Raw genomic sequence first — 17698 nt, 5'->3', positions numbered from 1 at the left:
AACTGAAGTGGACAAAAAAAATCATAATGCAATTCATGAGAACTATACAATCAATGAGATTGTTCTAATTAACTTTTGTAAAATGTTAATTCAGGCCAGGCACGGTGGCTTCTGCCTATAATCCCAGCACTTTGGGAGGCTGAACTGGGCAGATCACATGAGGCCAGGAATTTGAGACCAGCCTGGCCAACATGGCGAAACCCTGTCTCTACTAAAAATACAAAAATTAGCTGGGTATGGTGGTGCACGCCTGTAGTCTCAGCCACTCAGGATGCGAGGCACAAGAATCACTTGAACCTGGGAGGCAGAGGTTGCAGTGAGCCAAGATTGTGCCACTGCACTCTAGCCTGGGTGACAGAGCAAGACTCTATCTCAAATTAAAAATAAATAAATAAATTGGCTGGGCGCAGTGGCTCACGCCTATAATCCTAGCACTTTGGGAGGCCGAGGCGGGCAGATTGCCTGAGCTCAGGAGTTTGAGACCAGCCTGGGCAACATGGTGAAACTCCGTCTCTACTAAAATACAAAAATACATACATACGTACATACATACATACATACAAAATGTCAATTCAATACCTAGAAAATTCTATTCAAGTACACATAAAACACTTATAAGAACTGACTATATATGAGGCCAATCAACAAATCTTAAAGTAGCATTGCCTTAGTCTATTTTCACTCTGCTATAATGAACTTCCCTGAGACTAGATAATTTATAAAGAACAGAGGTTTAATTGACTCACAGTTCTGCATGGCTGGGGAGGCCTCAGGAAACTTATAATCATGGCAGAAGGCAAAGGGGAAGCAACCTTAGACCTTTCTCATGTGGCAGCAGGAGAGAGAAGAGTGAGGAGTGAAGGGGGAAGAGCCCCTTATAAAACCATCAGATCTCATGAGAACTCACTCACTTTCACAAAAACAGTGTAGGGGAAACCACCCCCATGATCCAATCACCTCACATCAGTCTCTCCTAGACACATGGGTATTATAGGGATTACAATTCAAGATGAGATTTGGGTGGAGACACAGCCAAATTATATCATTCCATCCCTGGCCCCTCCCAAATCTCATGTCCTCACATTTCAAAACACAATCATGCCTTTCCAACAGTCTGCCAAAGTCCTAACTAACTCATTCCAGCATAAACCCAAATGTCCAAGTCCAAAGTTTCATCTGAGAAAAGGCAAGTCCCTTCCACCTACGAGCCTGTAAAATTAAAAGCAGGTTAGTTACTTCCTAGATACAATGGGGGTATAGGCATTGGATAAATGCTCCCATTCCAAATGGGAGAAATTGGCCAAAATAAAGGGGTTACAGTCCCCATGCAAGTCTAAAACCCAGCAGGGCAGCTATTCAATCTTAAAGCTCTGAAATGATCTCCTTTGACTCCATGTCTCACATCCAGGTCACACTGATGCAAGAGGTGGACTCACACAGTCTTGGGCAGCTCTACCCTTGTGGTTTTGCAAGATACAGCCCTCCTCCCAGCTGCTTTCACAGGCTGGCATTGAGTGTCTGCAGCTTTTCCAGCTGCATGGTGCAAGCTGCCATTGGATCTACCATTCTGGGATCTAGAAGATGGTGGCCCTCTTCTCACAGCTCCAGCTAGCTTGAGTTTCTCCCCAGAAAATGGGTTGTTTTCTATCGCATCATCAGGCTGCAAATTTTCCACTTTTATGCTCTGTATCCCTTTTAAACATAAGTTCCAATTTCAAATCATCTATTTGTGAATGCATAAAACTGAATGCTTTTAAGAGCACACAGACCACATCTTGAACACTTTGCTGCTTACAAATTTCTTCCACCAGATGCCTTAAGTCATCTCTCTCAAGTTCAAAGTTCCACACATCTCTAGGGCAGGGACAAAATGCCACTAGTCTCTTTGCTAAAGCATGGCAAGAGTGACCTTCGCTCTAGTTCCCAATAAGTTCCTCATCTCCATCTGAGATCACCTCATCCTGGACTTTATTGTCTGTATCACTATCAGAATTTTGGTCAAAACCATTCAACAAGTCTCTAGGAAGTTCCAAACTTCCCCACATCTTCCTGTCTTCTTCTGAGCCCTCTAAACTGTTCCAACCTCTGCCTGTTACCCAACTGCAAATTCTCTTCCACATTTTCAGGTATTTTTGTATCAATACCCCACTCTCTGAGGTACCAATTTACTGTATTAGTCTGTTTTCACACAGCTATGAAGACATACCCAAGACTGGGTAACTTATAAAGAAAAGAGGTTTAATTGACTTACAGTTTTGCATGGCTGGGGAGGCCTCAAGGAATTTACAATCATGGCGGAAGGCAAAGAGGAAGCAAGCTTGGGCCTTCTCACATGGCGGCAGGACAGAGAAAAGAGTGAGGAGCGAAGTGGGGAGAACCTCTTACAAAACCATCAGATCTCATGAGAAGTCACTCACTATTACAAGAACAGCATGAAGGGAAACCAACCCTATGATCCAATCACCTCACACCAGTTCTCTCCCTAGACACATGAGGATTATAGGGATTACAATTCAAGATGAGATTTGGGTGAGGACACAGCCAAACCATGTCAATCATAGAGAGACCAACACAATTGAGATAGAATTTATTTTTAAAAATGCGTGTTATGATAAGCAGCATGTAGTTGGATGTGACCCATTATGACAATCTTTTTCTTTAAATAAGTACATTTAACCTATTAATGGTTACAACTGTCATGACCATGAATCTGAGGCAGCTACAGTGCTTACTTCAAAACAAATGTTAATTTCTGTTTGGAGAGTCGGCAACTTCTGTAGCTTTTGATTGTAAGTATTTAATGCTTGAGCCTTCTAAATCTTAGTGCTCTATTAGCAGCTGATGATTATAATGCTGCTGCTACTGCTGGGGTTGCTGCTGTTTTTATCAACATTCGGTGTCCTGACCTTCACTCAAAATTGTAGACTAAAAACTGCTGTGGCTATTTCACACTCATTAGGATGGCTATTATTAAAAACAAAAACAGAACAAACAGCAAATAAGTATTGGTGAGGATGTGGAGAAATTGGAACCCTTGTGCATTTCTGGTGGGAATGCAAATGGTACAGCCTATGGAAAATGATGTGGTTATCAAAAAATTAAAGATAGATTTCCCATATGATCCAGCAATTCCACTTCTGAGTATCTACCCAAAAGAAGTGAAAGCAGGGACTTGAACTGAATTTGTACAGCAATGTTCATAGCAGCATCATTTACAATAGCTAAAAGGTAGAAGCAACTCAAGCGTCCATTGAAGGGTGAATGGATAAGCAAATTGTGACATATACATATGGTGGAATATCATTTGGCCTTAAGAAGGAAGGAAACCCTGACCTACTACAAAATATATGAACTTTGAGGACATCATGCTAAGTGAAATAAACCAGTTACAAAAGGACAAATACTGTATGACTCCATTTATACGAGGTGCCTAGAGTAGTCAAATTAATACAGACAGAAATAGAATGGTAGTTGCCAGGGCTGGGGAAGGGAGAATAGTTACTTATTGTTTAAGGGATATGGAGTTTCAGTTTAGGAAGATGAAAAAGTTTAGGAGATGGATAGTGGTCATTGTTGGCTTTTAAAAAATAAATTCAGGTGGCACCTGTGCAGATTTGTTACATGCGTATATTGTGTAATGCTGGCGTTTGGGCTTCTAGTAAACCCATTACCCAAATATTGAACATAGTACCCAATAGGGAATTTTTCAACTCTCTCCCCACTCCCATCCTTACCCTTTCTGGAGTGCCCAGTGTCTAGAATGCATATCCCATTCTTTCCATCTTTATATCATGTGTACCCATTGATTAGCTCTTACTTATAAGTGAAAATATGGGGTATTTGATCTTCTGTTTTAGTTTTTTTTTTTTTTTTGCAAAGGACACAATTTCGTTTTTTATGGCTGCATAGTATTCTGTGGTGTATGTATACCACATTTTCTTTATCCAGTTCACAATTGATGGACACTTAGCTTGATTCCCTGACTTTGCTATTATGAATAGTGCTGCAGTGAACGTACGTGTGCAGGTGTCTTCTTGATAAAATGATTTTTTTTTCCTTTGGGTAGATACCCAGTAGTGGGATTGCTGAGTAGAATGGTAGTTCTATTTTTAGTTCCTTGTGAAATCTCCATACCGTTTTCCGTAGGGGTTAAACTAATTTACGTTCCCACCAACAGTGTATAAGCGTTCCTTTTCTCTGCAGCCTTGCCAGCATCTATTGTTTTTTGACTTTTTAATAATAGCCATGCTGACTGGTGTGAGATGGTAACTCATTGCGATTTTGATTTGCATTTCTCTGATGATTAGTGATGTTGAACATTTATCCATATGTTTGTTGGTTGCTTGTATGTCTTCTTTTGAGAAGTATCTGTTCATGACCTTGCCCCACTTTTTAATGGGGTTGTTTTGTTTTGTTTTTCTTGTTGATTTGTATAAGCTCCTTATAGATTCTGGATATTAGACCTTTGTCAGATGCACAGTTTGTGGATATTGTCTCCCATTCTGTAAATTGTCTATTTACTCTGTTAATTAGTTTAATTAAATCCCATTTGTCTGTTTTTGTTTTTGTTACATTTGCTCTTGAGGTCTTAGTCATATATTCTTTGAATATGCCAACGTCCAAAGTAGTTTTTCCTAGGTTTTCTTCTAGTATTTTTATAGTTGCAGGTCTTACATTTAAGTATTTAATCTATCTTGACTTAATTTTTGTCTGTGGTGAAAGGTGGTGTTCCAGTTTCATTCTACTGCGTATCCCTAGCCAGTTTTCCCCCACATAATTTACTGAATAGGGTGTACTTTCTTCATTGTTTGTTTTTATTGACTTTGTCAATATCAGTTAGTTGTAGGTATATGGATTTATTTCTGTGTTCCGTATTCTGTTCCATTGATCTTTGTCTGTTTTTGTACCAATACCATGCTGTTTTGGATACTGTAGCCTTGTAGTATACTTTGAGTTTGGGTAATGTGATGCCTCCAGCCTTGTTCTCTTTGCTTAGGATTGCTTTGGCTAATTAGAATTGTTTTTTTCTAATTCTGTGAAAAATGATGTAGGTAATTTGGTAGGAACTTCACTGAATCTGTAGATTGCTTTGGGCAGTATAATCATTTTAACAATCTTGATTCTTCCTCTGTATGAGCATGGGATGTTTTCCAATTTGTTTGTGTCATCTATGTGTTCTTTCATCAGTATTCTGTTGTTCTCCTTGTATAGATCTTTTACCTTATTAGTTAAATGCATTTTTAGATATAGTATTTTTTGTGGCAAATGTAAGTGGGATTGAGTGTTTGATTTGGTTCTCAGCTTGAGTGTTGCTGGTGTATAGGAATGCAACTGATTTTTTTGTGCATTATTTTTGTATCCTGAAACTGTACTGAAGTCATTTATCAGGTCTAGGAGTCCTTTGGAGCAGTCATTAGGCTTTCTAGGTATAGGATCATGTCATCAGCTAGCAGAGATAATTCTACTTCTTCTTTTCCTATTTGTATTACTTTTATATCTTCTTCACACCTAATTGCTCTGACTAGGACTTCCAGTAATATGTTGAATAGGAGAAATGAGAGTAGACATCCTTGTCTTGCTCCCATTCCTAGGGAGTGTATTAGTCCATTTTTACACTGCTATAAAGAACTGCCAGAGATAATTTATAAAGTAAAGAAGTTTAATTGACTAACAGTTCTGCATGGCTGGGAAGGCCCCAGGAAACTTATAATCATGGCAGAAGGGGAAGCAGGCACTTCTTACATGGCAGCACATGAGAGAGCACCTGTGAAGGAGGAACCGTCAAACACTTTAAATACCATCAGATCTTGTGAGAACTCACTGTCATGAGAACAGCATGGGGAAAACTGCCCCCATGACCTAATCACCCCCAACCCCCGACACATGGGGATTACAATTTGAGATTAGATTTGGTTGGGGACACAGAGCCCAAACCATATCGGGGAAATGCTTTCAATTTTTCACCATTCAGTATGATGTTGGCTGTGGGTTTGCCATGTATGGCTCTTATTATTTTTAGTTAAGTTCCTTTGATGCCTAGTTCGTTGGAGGGTTTTTATTGTGAAAGGATGTTGGATTTTATTGAATGCATTTTTTGCATTTATTGAGATAATAATATGGTTTTTGTTTATGTGGTGAATCACCTTGATTTGTGTATGCTGAACCATCCTGGCATACCAGAAATAAAACCCACTTGATCACGATGAAATATCTTTTTGATGTGCAGCTAGATTCAATTTGCTAGCATTTCATTAAGAATGTTTGTGTCTGTGTACATCAGGGATATTGGCCTATAGTTTTCTTCCTTGATTGTGTCCTTGCCAGATTTTGGATGATACTGGTTTCATAGAATGAGTTGGGGAAGAATGCCTCCGCCTCAGTGTTTTGGAATCGTTTCATTGAGATTGGTACCAGCTTCTTTGTAAGTCTGGTAGAATTTGGCCATGAGTCTGTCTAGTCCTGAATTTTTGTTTTTCTTTTTTGGTTTGTAGATTTTTTGTTACTAATTCAATTTTCTAGCTCATTATTGGTCTGTTCAGCATTTTAATTTCATCTTGATTCAATCTTGTGAAGTTGTGTGTTTCCAGGAATTTATCCATCTCCTCTAGGTTTTCTAGGTGGTGTGCATAGAGATATTCATAATAGCTTCTGAGAATCTTTTGTATTTATGCAGTATCAGTTGTAATGTCACCCTTGTCATTTTTTGATTATGCTTATTTGAATATTCTTTTTCTTGGTTAATGTAGCTACTGGTCTATCAATGTTGTTCATCCTTTCAGAGAACCAACTTTTCATTTCGTTGATCTTTAGTATATTTTGTTGGTCACAATTTTATGTCATTCTGCTCTGATCTTTGTTAATTCTTTTGTTCTTCTATCTTTGGGTTTGGTTTGTTCTCATTTTTCTAGTTCTTTTAGATGTGACATTGGGTTGTTAATCTGAGATCTTTCTATCTTTTTGATGTAAACATTTAGCAGAATAAACTTTCCTCTTAGCCCTGCTTTTGCTGTATCCCAGGGATTTGGATATTTTGTTTCTATTTTCACTTGTTTCAAAACATATTTTGATTTGTGCTTTAATTCTTTTGTTTACCCAAAAGTCATTCAGCAGCAAGTTGTTTGTTTGGTTTCCATGTTCTTATGTGGTTTTTGATAGTTCCTCTTGGTATGATTCCTGATTTTATTCCACTGTGGTCTGAGAAGATGCTTGATATGATTTTGATGTTTTTAAATGTATTAAGATTTGCTATATGGCCAATCATATAGTCAATTTTAGAGACTGTTCTGTGCACAGATGAGAAAAACATACATTCTGTGGTTGTTGGATGCAGTGTTCTGTGGTGTTTACTGGGTCCATTTGGTCAAGAGTCCAATTTAAGTCCAGATTTTCTTTGTTGTTTTCTGCCTCAGTGTTCTATCTAGTGCCGTCAGCATGGTGTTGAAACCCCCTACTATTATTGTAAGGCTGTCTATCTCTTCTCTTTAGGTCTAGTAGTATTTGTTTTCTAAATCTTGGTGCTCCGATGTTGAGTAAACATACATTTAAAATAGTAGAATTTTCTGATTGAATTGAACCCTTTATCATTATATAATACCCTTCTTTGTCTTTTTTTTTTAATGTGTTTGTTTTAAAGTCTCTTCTATCTCACACAGGAATAGCAACCCTTACTCTTTTTTGTTTTCCATTTGTGTGATAGATCTTTCTCCATTCTGTTGTTTTGAGACTGTGGCTGTCATAATGTGTGACATTGGTCTCTTGAAAACAGTAGATGGTTGGGTCTTGTTTTTTTTAATCTAGTTTGCCAATCTGTGTTTCTCAGGTGGGGCTTTTATGCTGTTATGTTCAAGGTTAATATTGATATGTGAGGTTTTGTTCCTGCCATAGTGTTGTTAGCTAGTTACTTTGTATTCTCAATTGTGTAATTGCTTTATAGGATCCGTGTACTTTGGCCTTATGTGTACTTTTATGGTAGCAAGCATTGTTCTTTTGTTTTCATGTTTAGAACTTCTTTGAGCTTTTCTTGTAGGACTGGTCTGGTAAAGAAGAGTTCCCTTAGCATTTGCTCATCTGGGAAAACTTTATTTGTCCTTCATTTATGAGGTGTAGTTTGGCAGGGTATAAAATTCTTGGCTGACTTTTTTTTTTTTTCCTTTAGAGAGTTAAAAATATACCCCCAATCTCTTCTTGCTTGTAAGGCTTCTACAGAGAAGTCCACTGTTAGTCTAATGGTATTTCCTTTATGGGTAATTTATCCCTTTTTTTCAGGTGCCTCCCTTTGAGAATTTTTTTTTCATGTTGACCTTGGATAGTCTGATAATTATAGGCCTTGGTGACTATCATCTTCTGTAGTATCTTGCGAGAGTTTTCTAAATTTCTTATATCTGGATGTTGATGATTCTAGCAAGGTTAGTAAGATTTTCCTGAATTACTGTCTCCAATATGTTTTCCAGGTTGCTTTCTTTTTCTTCTTCTCTCTCAGGAATACCAACCAGTTGTATGTTTGTTCACTTTACATAATCCCATATTTTTCAAAGGCTTTCTTCATTTTTCTAAATTCTTTTTTATTTTTGTCTGACTGGATTAATTTGAAAGACCACATTTCAAGCTCTGAAATTCTTTCTTCTGCTTGTCTAGGTTATTGTTAAAGCTTCCAACTGTATTTTGAAATTCTTTCCATGAATTTTTTCATTCCAGAAGTTCTAATTGTTTGGGTTTTTTTTCTTTTTTTGACATAGCTGTCTCATCTTTTATAGCCTGAATTGTTTTTCTGGTTTCTTTGTATTGGATTTCAACTTTCTCTTGGATCTCATTGAGTTTCCTTAAAATCCATATTTTGAATTATTTGTCTGCCATTTCAGACTTTTCATTTTTGTTAGGACCTATTGCTACAGAGCAAATGAAATACTTTGGAGGTGTCAATCCACTCTAGGTTTTTTTTTGCTACTAGAGTTCTTGCACTGATTCCTTCTCATATGAGGGATCTGTCACGTTTATTTTTTAATTTTCTGTCCTTTTGATAGGACTTTTACATTTTGTAATTCTTTTTTATCTTGAGGGTATGTTGTATGTTGTGTATGATCATTTGGCCTCCTTTCCAGGTGCTTTCAGAGGACCAAGGTGCTGTATGGGTCCTTCATTGTGGGTAGCTTTTGTGTGGTGGCTTTCTCGGATGCTGCTTGTTGTAGCAATATATTTGACATATGAGCTAACACTCTATCTACTGCTTGGCTGAGGGTATGGAAGTCTCATCACATACACTAGCACTCAGCCCTTCTGGCAGCAGGTGTTTTATTTGGTGGTGGAGTTCAAGCTCTAGTCCAGTAGGTGGCACTTAAGAGTAAGAGCTGGCCCACCCACAGGTAGATTGATGATGAGCGGAAGCACCTGCCCTGATATAGAGGGGAGGAGATTTTGTTGGAGCATGCTGAGGTCTTTGGGGAAGGAGCAGTTGGGGAAGTGCACCAGCTCCTCATCCTGACCAGGCAGGAATGCCAGCTGCTTCCCCTATCACACCATGTCACAGGGCTCCCAGCCTTCAGTTCATAAAGACTTTTTCCTTTGGTTCCCAGCTGCAATGTGGCTATGGGCTACTGATATACCATTTTGGCAGCTACCACCAAGATGGTCTTGGGGCAGAGCCCCTTCCCCCAGTCCAGAGCAGACAACTCTGTGGCTTGTCTGTGTCCTCCATTGCCAGGATGCTGCTGTTTTGTGTAGGGTCAGGGAGTTGGGCCCTGCCCTTTGTGCAAGCCCAAGCAGCATGGGCTCACTTTCAGCGAGTGTGGATTCACTACAAAAAGTGTGATAAGTGCTTTCTCCAGGTGCACATATACCAGCCCCCAGCCAGAAGAACCACTACTGCATCCTCAACAGTGGCTAAAGGTGGCAAGGGGTGGATGACTCCCTCTCCACAACCCTTCCTAGCCATCAGTGCTACCCCCTTCACCGATTGGTGCCACTTCCTTCATTTCCTTTGTCCCAAGGGAGACTTTAGTGGGCTGTGCTCCCCATTGCCTTCAGGGCAGCCCACCAAGGGTGAGATCTCCAGGGCTCCCACAGCTCCACAGGGACCCAACAGCCCCATGTTTGCCAGAGACAGAATGGGTTGTGGGGTATGTTTGTGGGGAATCTCGTGGTGTGGTGACTCAAGGGCAGAGATTCCCTGGGCAGGGCAGTGTCCCACCACAGGTGCACAACCAGCATGGCTCAGTTCAGCCATGTCAGTTCAGGTCTGAGGGGAGTGTAGGCATGCTTAACATGAGCTGGCCACCTGGTTCTTTGCCCCTGGAAAATTCCCCCAAGTCACCACTGACAGCATTGCCCGTGATCCAGAGGGCAGAGGGGCTCCCCAACAGTTTGACAGTCAGTGAATTGTTGCAGGGGTGAAGGGAGCAGAGAAGCACACCCACTACCCCTTAGCACAGGGTTCTGAGTTCCTCAGGGGTCAATCTCTGCCAGACCCTTGCTGCTTTTTTTTTCTGCATCTCAGCTTTTTCCCCTGGGCACTCTGTCAGGTCCTGGATCTCTTCTGTAAGTTTTGCATTTGGAACTTGTCCATTCACAGATAACTTTGATCTTTCTGAAAAGAGCTGGCATCTGATGTCACTAGACAGGCATCTTGAAAACCAGCAGCTTGATGGTGACTGTTATAGAACAAAGTGAACATACTCAATGCTACTGAACTGTATATGTAAAATAGGTTAAAACAGTAAATTTTATGTATATTTTACGAAACACACACAAAAAAATCAAATCCTGCTCTGCCTATACCCAGGAATAGTCTTCCATTGTCGCTGGGGTGTTGATGTAATGATCAGTCTTAATGCTTTGAGAGAAGTCAATTCTGTTATCCCTTTCTAAAGCTGCTCTTTCAACAGTGGAGAGGTGGAAACAAGAATATTACCTAGGAATGCCTTCTGTTTGTGTAGCACTTTATGTTTGAAGGAAGGCTTTTATGTGAGTAATTCATTTAATCCTCATGGCAGCCTTGTAAGGTCAGTAGTGTTGCTCCCTTTTAATTGATGGAAAAAAGTGAAGCCTGAGAGATTAAGTTGTCCAAGATTACAGGGCTATTAAAGGATGCAGAGGTTCAAATACTTATCTTCTGACTCTATAGCCATTGATTTCCCAAAGTAGAGAAATAATTGTCAACTTACTGTGAGCTTTACATTTAAAATGCCAAAAGCTAGGTGATATTCTTGTTAAACTGAATAAAGAAAAGAAAAAGAAAAATAGCATCATTAACTTCCCCGTGACCAAGGAATAATGATTATGCTGAATTTATGCTCTAGATCCTATTAACATATTTGTGGCTTTTTATACTGCTCTATTTTCAAACTTTGATCACGTTTAAATTCTGCTTGACTCTTTGTATTTTTAGACTTTAGCTTCTGAAAACACACTCTGATTTAGGGTTGGGGGAGCTTTTCCCCAAAACTTACTGTTTTCAGTCATAGCTATTCAAATTTTCATCTAAATTTTCAAAATAAATGTACAATTCAAATAAAAATAAGTAGGCAGGTTGTTCTCTCATTGTTATGCGAGAACTATTTCACTTTAGGTCTTAAATTTCATGTTTTATTGCTCTCCGTGGAGTGGATGGTTAATGTAAATGGGAGAAACCTGGCATCACACCATCACTGGTCTTAGTGACTTTACGAGTTTCCCCTGGAACAAATAGCTGGGTCAGTGCAACCTCCCAATTCTCAGCATGCAGCTAGCATTCATTTTCCTTTGAAGCCTGACATAGATAAGTCAACTCAGAGCCCCAACTTCCCTGCTTCAGAATGCTGACCTAGTAGTTTTCTCTGTTGCTGGGAAGATGTGGTACTGTATGGAAGAGGGGTGGCATTGATACCCCGTCACTGTGAACAAGCCTCCCTGAGTTTATTAACTGATAACATAAATAAAACTTCCTAAGGCAATATGCAATAGATTTCTCACTGTGGTGGTATTCTGTGAAAGAAATTGAGATTTTCCACTCCTGAGTCCTTCCCTCTGTACAGAACCTGTAAAGTCTTCACTGACAGGTTACACATTGAACATTCAAAGAGATGGCCCCTCTATTTCCTCTTTCAAGTTGTTCCAGCTACTGTGAGGTGAAAATACTGTACAGCCCAGCTTACCATTGCATTTACTGCACAAATTCTGAATTCAGGTCCCTCACCTCGTATATGTGAAACTCCTTGGAAGCATTCACTTCACTTTAAAAAGTTTGCAGCATGTTGGGACTCTCTTCTCTTGTGTTTTGCCATAAAATTCATAAACCAGGGTTCCTTGTGCTGAGTGCAAAGGAAAAATGAAGTACTTTCACAAAACATGACTCACACCTATAATTTAGGCAACACTGAGGAAGCTTTACGCGTGTCTCTGGCTTATTGCTTCCATTCCCATAGCTTAGATTTATTAAGCACCTATTCTGTGTCAGAAACTGTGCTGAGTATTTCATGTGTACTATGTTATTTAATGCACATCATAGACCTATGTGGTGGCTACTAACTTATTCTCATTAAAAAAAAAAAGTGGTGGCTACTAACTTATTCTCATTAAAAAAAAAAAAAAACCTGAAATGTAAAGAGGTTAAGCGGGCACATAGTGAGTAAGTGGCTTATGTCAACTCTTTCTTTCCTGTGTCAGTTGTACTGCTGTAACTCAAATAGATCATTGTATTACCATTTACAATCCCAAGTTAAAGAATTTCCAGAATCAGGTTTGACATCTCCTATCAGTGCCTTATACACTTTAATATTCTCTTCTCTCAGGAGGGGGAGGTTCCAATTTTCATATTATATTCATATGTTTCACATCTATCATTGTTTTCCCCTCAGCTTTCTCTTCTGCATGATTCAAACAAATAATAGCAGACAAATTCTTGTTAACATTCTTCCAAGATGGTGCTTTCTAAAGAGTCAGTTACTTAGGTTTCTTTCAACTCAGACTTTGATTGCTCTTTATTCTACTAAGGAGTGAATGATACAAAGCAGATATTCATTATTTGTGATTACGAACAGACAGCAAAAAAATCAATGGCAAACAAAAATGGAAAGTTGTTTCATGTTTTGAATGAGACAGACTTTTATTTTTAATGCTGATTAAAACATAAAGAAATGGTAATTAAAACATAGAGAAGAATATTATGAGGACAAGCCTGTTTTCAGAGAGGAGCTTGGTTTCTTTTTGTTCTGACATTTGTGTAATTTCAACAAAATATATTTCAACCCATTAAGCATTAATTGAATGAGACAGGTATTTATTGAATATATACTTTGTTCTCAGAATTTATGAAGAATATAGACTCTGTATAAAAAAAATGGACCCTGCCCTGAAGAGCTAGCAATTTTGTGAATGAGAGAAGACAAACCTAAATATAATTATATCCAAGGCAGTTCATATTAAATGCACTTCTACCCTTTCTTCCAGTTCTTTAGCAATATCTGACAATTTTTCACTAAAACTTCTCTTTAATCTGTCTTCCTCTTCAGAGAAGTTTGATTTTGAATTTCAGAAATGCCTAATTTATGCTTTAGAGATTAGAATAAGTTTTTCCTCCATTTATTGCTTGATTATTGTGATCAGTTCTTAAGTCTGAATTGAAATCCTGAGAGATGCTTGCCTGCTACCCACTTTAAGATGCATCTTTATGATCCTCTTATGCCACAGAGTCATCAGAAATTGGGCCTTCCCTCGTGATTCACACCACTGTCCCATTTGGAGTTACATACTTGGAACACAGCATTGAGGATGTGCAAGAGTTAGTCTTCCAGCAGCTGGAAAACATTTTGCCGGGTTTGCCTCAGCCAATTGCTACCAAATGCCAAAAATGGAGACATTCACAGGTAATCAAAGAATCCAGTGGTCTAAGCACAACAATTTTCTTAACAGGCTCACAGAACTGATGTTACTTCTTTATCCTTTGCACTCTCTAGTGAAATAAATTAACTATGTGATCCTTGGAGCAAATATGTGTTTGCCCAACACATAAATATAACTTCTATGGGTTTTATGGTCCTGCTGTTTCTCAACAAGAAGTGCATAGAATTTCCACCAATGTTGTCTTCAAATTCAAGCATCTCAAGACTTACAAACCTTGATATTCCGAGGTCTTCTCTTCAGATAAGGCAGGTTATATCTCCAAATGCAGCTGTTTCTTTGGGGTTTTTCTAGATCAGTACTGTGGATATTTAGAAACCACTATAACTTCCCAAGATTTTGCAATATGTCAAATTAACCTTGTAAGTGTATTTTGCTACCACAATTTTCATTTTTATTAAGTTTCCACTTTGGTTTTGACTGCTGCCAGCTGAGCTCTCTGGGGGAGAGAGATAAGTACCTGCATAGGACAGCTAGTTGAGCTGTTTTTCAGGGTTAAATTAAACCTGCTGATCACTCTACTAGTTCAAACTTAAAGCTCCTTATACTAAGTAAATGTTGACTTTTTCTGAAAATTTCTGCATATTTCAATGGAAGTGAGTATTCATAGAAAAAGTCTTTTGATCCGTAAACTCAGTAGTGAAGTCATTTAGGGGACAACGAAGCAAAGGGCAGATACAGGAGAAAAAGCAGTGAGTTGTCCATTTTTTTCCTGGGATTTCTGAGCTTGTTGACGAACTGATTTATCAGCCCTATTGGTTATCCAAGCTGTGAAGCCTGTAGAAAAAGTGGTGTTGTGGGAAATTGCAGTTGATTTTGTATATTTTAAAGGGCTTTCCAAAATCAGAGGAAATAGTAAATTATTTCCTAAAATATTGTAGCAGGTCTATGTTTTACTCATATCTTCTCAAGTCAAATTACACAGTGAATCTTTGGGGAAAAATATTTACTTAAGCATGTCATGGTCACTTTAGAAGACTTTACTTTTTCCTTTTAAAAGCATTGAAAAATCTAAATAGCTATTATCTTTAAGTGATATTGAACTCAATTTTAAGTTGGCTTGAAAAAGAAAACAGGGAAATAATCTTGTTGATATACTTTGAAGCTAGATATATTACACATCAAGTCACTTTGTGATTTATAAATACTTCTTTAAAAGAAACATTCGTTTATGAGGTTTCCTCTTGTGCCTTTCTCGTAATTTATTAATAAACTGAAAAAGTGGATTTAAAATCTACTTATTTCTTAAAATTTGATGTGTTAATAAAAATAGATTTGTCCTAACCACAAAATGGTCTAATCAAAGTTGTGCAATATCACAAAATTTAATAAAAATCTTTGAACACAATGTACCTCCAAACCCTAGCAATGATTTTGTTACAATTTGGATGTTGAAATTATCTCACTATATTTACGACTCTGAAGTCATGAAGTCTACATTGGCTGCAAAACCTGAAAGGGAGTAAGTTATCATCCAGACTTAGAAGTTTGCATATTCCACTATTCATATACTTCTCACAGTAACTTGAGGACCATTTTACAGAACATAACATTGTCATTTATGGTAGAAATGTGGGAGGGTAGGGGGCATATTGGAAATCTCTATAACTTCCTCTCAGTTTTGCTATGAACCTAAAACTGTTCTGAAAAAAAAAAGTGAAGTCAATTTAAAAATAGAAAAAATTCAAATTAAAAATGTATCTAGTGGTAAAGATAAGCCCTAAATAGATTATTTTAAATATATATGTTTTAAAAGCAGTCTTATGAGTTTGTTAGTTTTAACTCTCTATAGTGATGAGCACACGAAGCCTCACAGAGATGAAATAACTTCCTTCAATCCCCACAGCTAATAATGACAAAACCAGTCTACCTGCCTCTCAAGTCCTTCCATCCTCTTCACCCACCTTATATTTCCTATTGTTGTTGTAACAAATTCTCAAAAACTTGGTAGTGGGAAACAACACAAATTTATTATCTTACAGTCCTGGAGGTCAGAGTCGAAAATGGGTCTCACTGGAATAAAATCCAGGTGTGGTCAGGCTGCATTTCTTTCTAGAGGCCCTAGGAGAGAATCCATTTTCTTGCCTTTGTCATCTTCTAGAAGCTGCCCACATTCCTCAGCTTGAGACCCCTCCCATCTTCAAAGCCAGCAACAGCAGGTCAAATCCTTCTTCCACTCTGACCTTTTCTTCTGCCTCACCCTTGTGATGACATTGGGCCCACCTGTGTGGTCCAAGATACTTATCCCATCTCAGCTTCAGCTCACTCATAATTTTAATCCATCTGCAACCTAAAATCTTCCTTTCCATTGACGTAACATATTTGTAGGTTCCAGGGATTAAGACATGGATGTCTGTGGTAGGGGCATTACTTCTGCCTGCCACACCCTCCTTTCTCCCAAATCCCTTGATGGATCCCCTTGATGAGGCATTGTTTCCTTCTTCCTCATAAAACCTCTGGAGAGAGCATCAGCCATGTAAGGCTCAAGCCTCCCTAAGGGAACACCTGCTATCTGCAAGAGATAAGAGGAGTATTTTGTGTGGGGACAGTTTCTGATTTCCCTGGTGTTGCTCTCCCAAGCCTAGTGCTGTTCCTAATGTCGCATATCCATATCCACAATTGCAACAGTGGGGTAAAAAATGTTTTTTCATTTTTTCATTTGGTAACTCATTTATTCAATAAGCGTTTAATGAATGCCTACAATATGGCTAGTACTCTGCTCAGGAAACCCTAGAGACTAATATTTGCTGACGGCCTTCTCCTAAGACTCTAAATTGAAGTTTGTCTAGGGCAAGCTAATGGTGCATTCTTGTGGGTGCTACTCTTAAATGAGGAAAGAGGCAGGTGAAGAAAGAAGGCGTTTTTTGAAAGACTTGGGAGCTGTTTCTGTGCATCCCATTTTTAATTTGAATAAAGCACTTGAGTAGGTGGTTCAAACAAACAGAAAAGCAATGGCAGACTTTTTGTGGTTCTCAGTTCCTCCCTTTTGCAGCTATTTGCCTTCCATAATTTAAATGTTTAGCCAGTTAATATAACTTGATGCTTAGTCTGTTATGCATTGAATTAAGGTTTCTGTAACAAGTATGATATATTAACTCTTTCTTTCACTAGAAGCAGAATTACTGAAAATGTCTTTCCATGTACCTTGACAGGGGACATTTAATCAGTTTGATAACCGTAATACTCTGACCATTATTTTATGCTGTGCTTTCCTTTGTTTCAGTGTCTATCATGATGCCCTTCTCAAACTATAGTAAATTTCTGATTTGCATTCAGGTTTAGCTCTAATTTTCCCCCTCTTTCTTCAATTCCAGAAAATGTGAGTGGCCCTTTTCCTTACCTTATGTAGCACTCTCATGATTACTTTATTTTTTAATCTCCAAATGTACATTCAGATACCAAGGAAATCAGGAGAGGAACTTAGGGGCAGGAAATGAATGAATACATTGATATTCAATATCTTTGGAAAAATAAATGGATGTGGACTAGCATAGTAAGCTTGTACAGTACAATTAGAAATCAGTTATCTTCTGTAGTTATATATCTTCACTTAATAACTCAATATTTTGCCCTGAGCTTGTACCTTTTCTCTTCCTTTTCTTTCTTTTTTTTTTTTTTTTTTTTTTTTTTGGCAGAGGTAGGCTCTAAATCTGTCACCCAGGCTGGAGTGCAGTGCATGATCAGAGCTGACTACAGCAGCCTGCCTCAAACTTCTGAGCTCAAGTGATCCTCTCACCTCAGCCTCCTGAGTAGCTGGGATTACAGGTGCACACTACTGTTCCCGGTTAATTTTTTAAAATGTTTGTAGTCACGGGGTCTTGCTATGTTG

General features: G+C 38.5%; 1 protein-coding gene and 1 long non-coding RNA gene across 15 annotated transcripts in view; one reads left to right on the top strand and one right to left on the bottom strand.

The window, feature by feature from the left end:
- Nucleotides 1–17698, bottom strand: part of LOC101929727 (uncharacterized) — a 248010-nt gene that overhangs the window by 51821 nt on the left and 178491 nt on the right. The window lies entirely within an intron of this gene.
- Nucleotides 1–17698, top strand: part of RNLS (renalase, FAD dependent amine oxidase) — a 411796-nt gene that overhangs the window by 255018 nt on the left and 139080 nt on the right. For 11 of the 14 annotated variants that reach the window (XR_001747122.3, XM_017016382.3, XM_011539924.4 and 8 more), the window contains one exon: nucleotides 13660–13835. The exons of 2 other annotated variants lie outside the window; for them this stretch is intronic. Coding sequence is in view for 11 of the 12 variants with exons in the window: in XM_017016382.3 (XP_016871871.1) it covers nucleotides 13660–13835 (176 nt within the window). In the remaining variant the exon portion in view is untranslated. Of the gene's footprint in view, nucleotides 1–13659; nucleotides 13836–13925; nucleotides 15218–17698 lie in introns of those variants that run through there. One more of the 14 variants, XM_017016381.3, reaches the window with a different exon arrangement.

The sequence above is a fragment of the Homo sapiens genome, chromosome 10 (assembly GCF_000001405.40).
Source record: "Homo sapiens chromosome 10, GRCh38.p14 Primary Assembly".
NCBI classification, from domain to species: Eukaryota; Metazoa; Chordata; class Mammalia; order Primates; family Hominidae; genus Homo; species Homo sapiens.
This window is presented reverse-complemented; position numbering and strand designations above follow the sequence as displayed.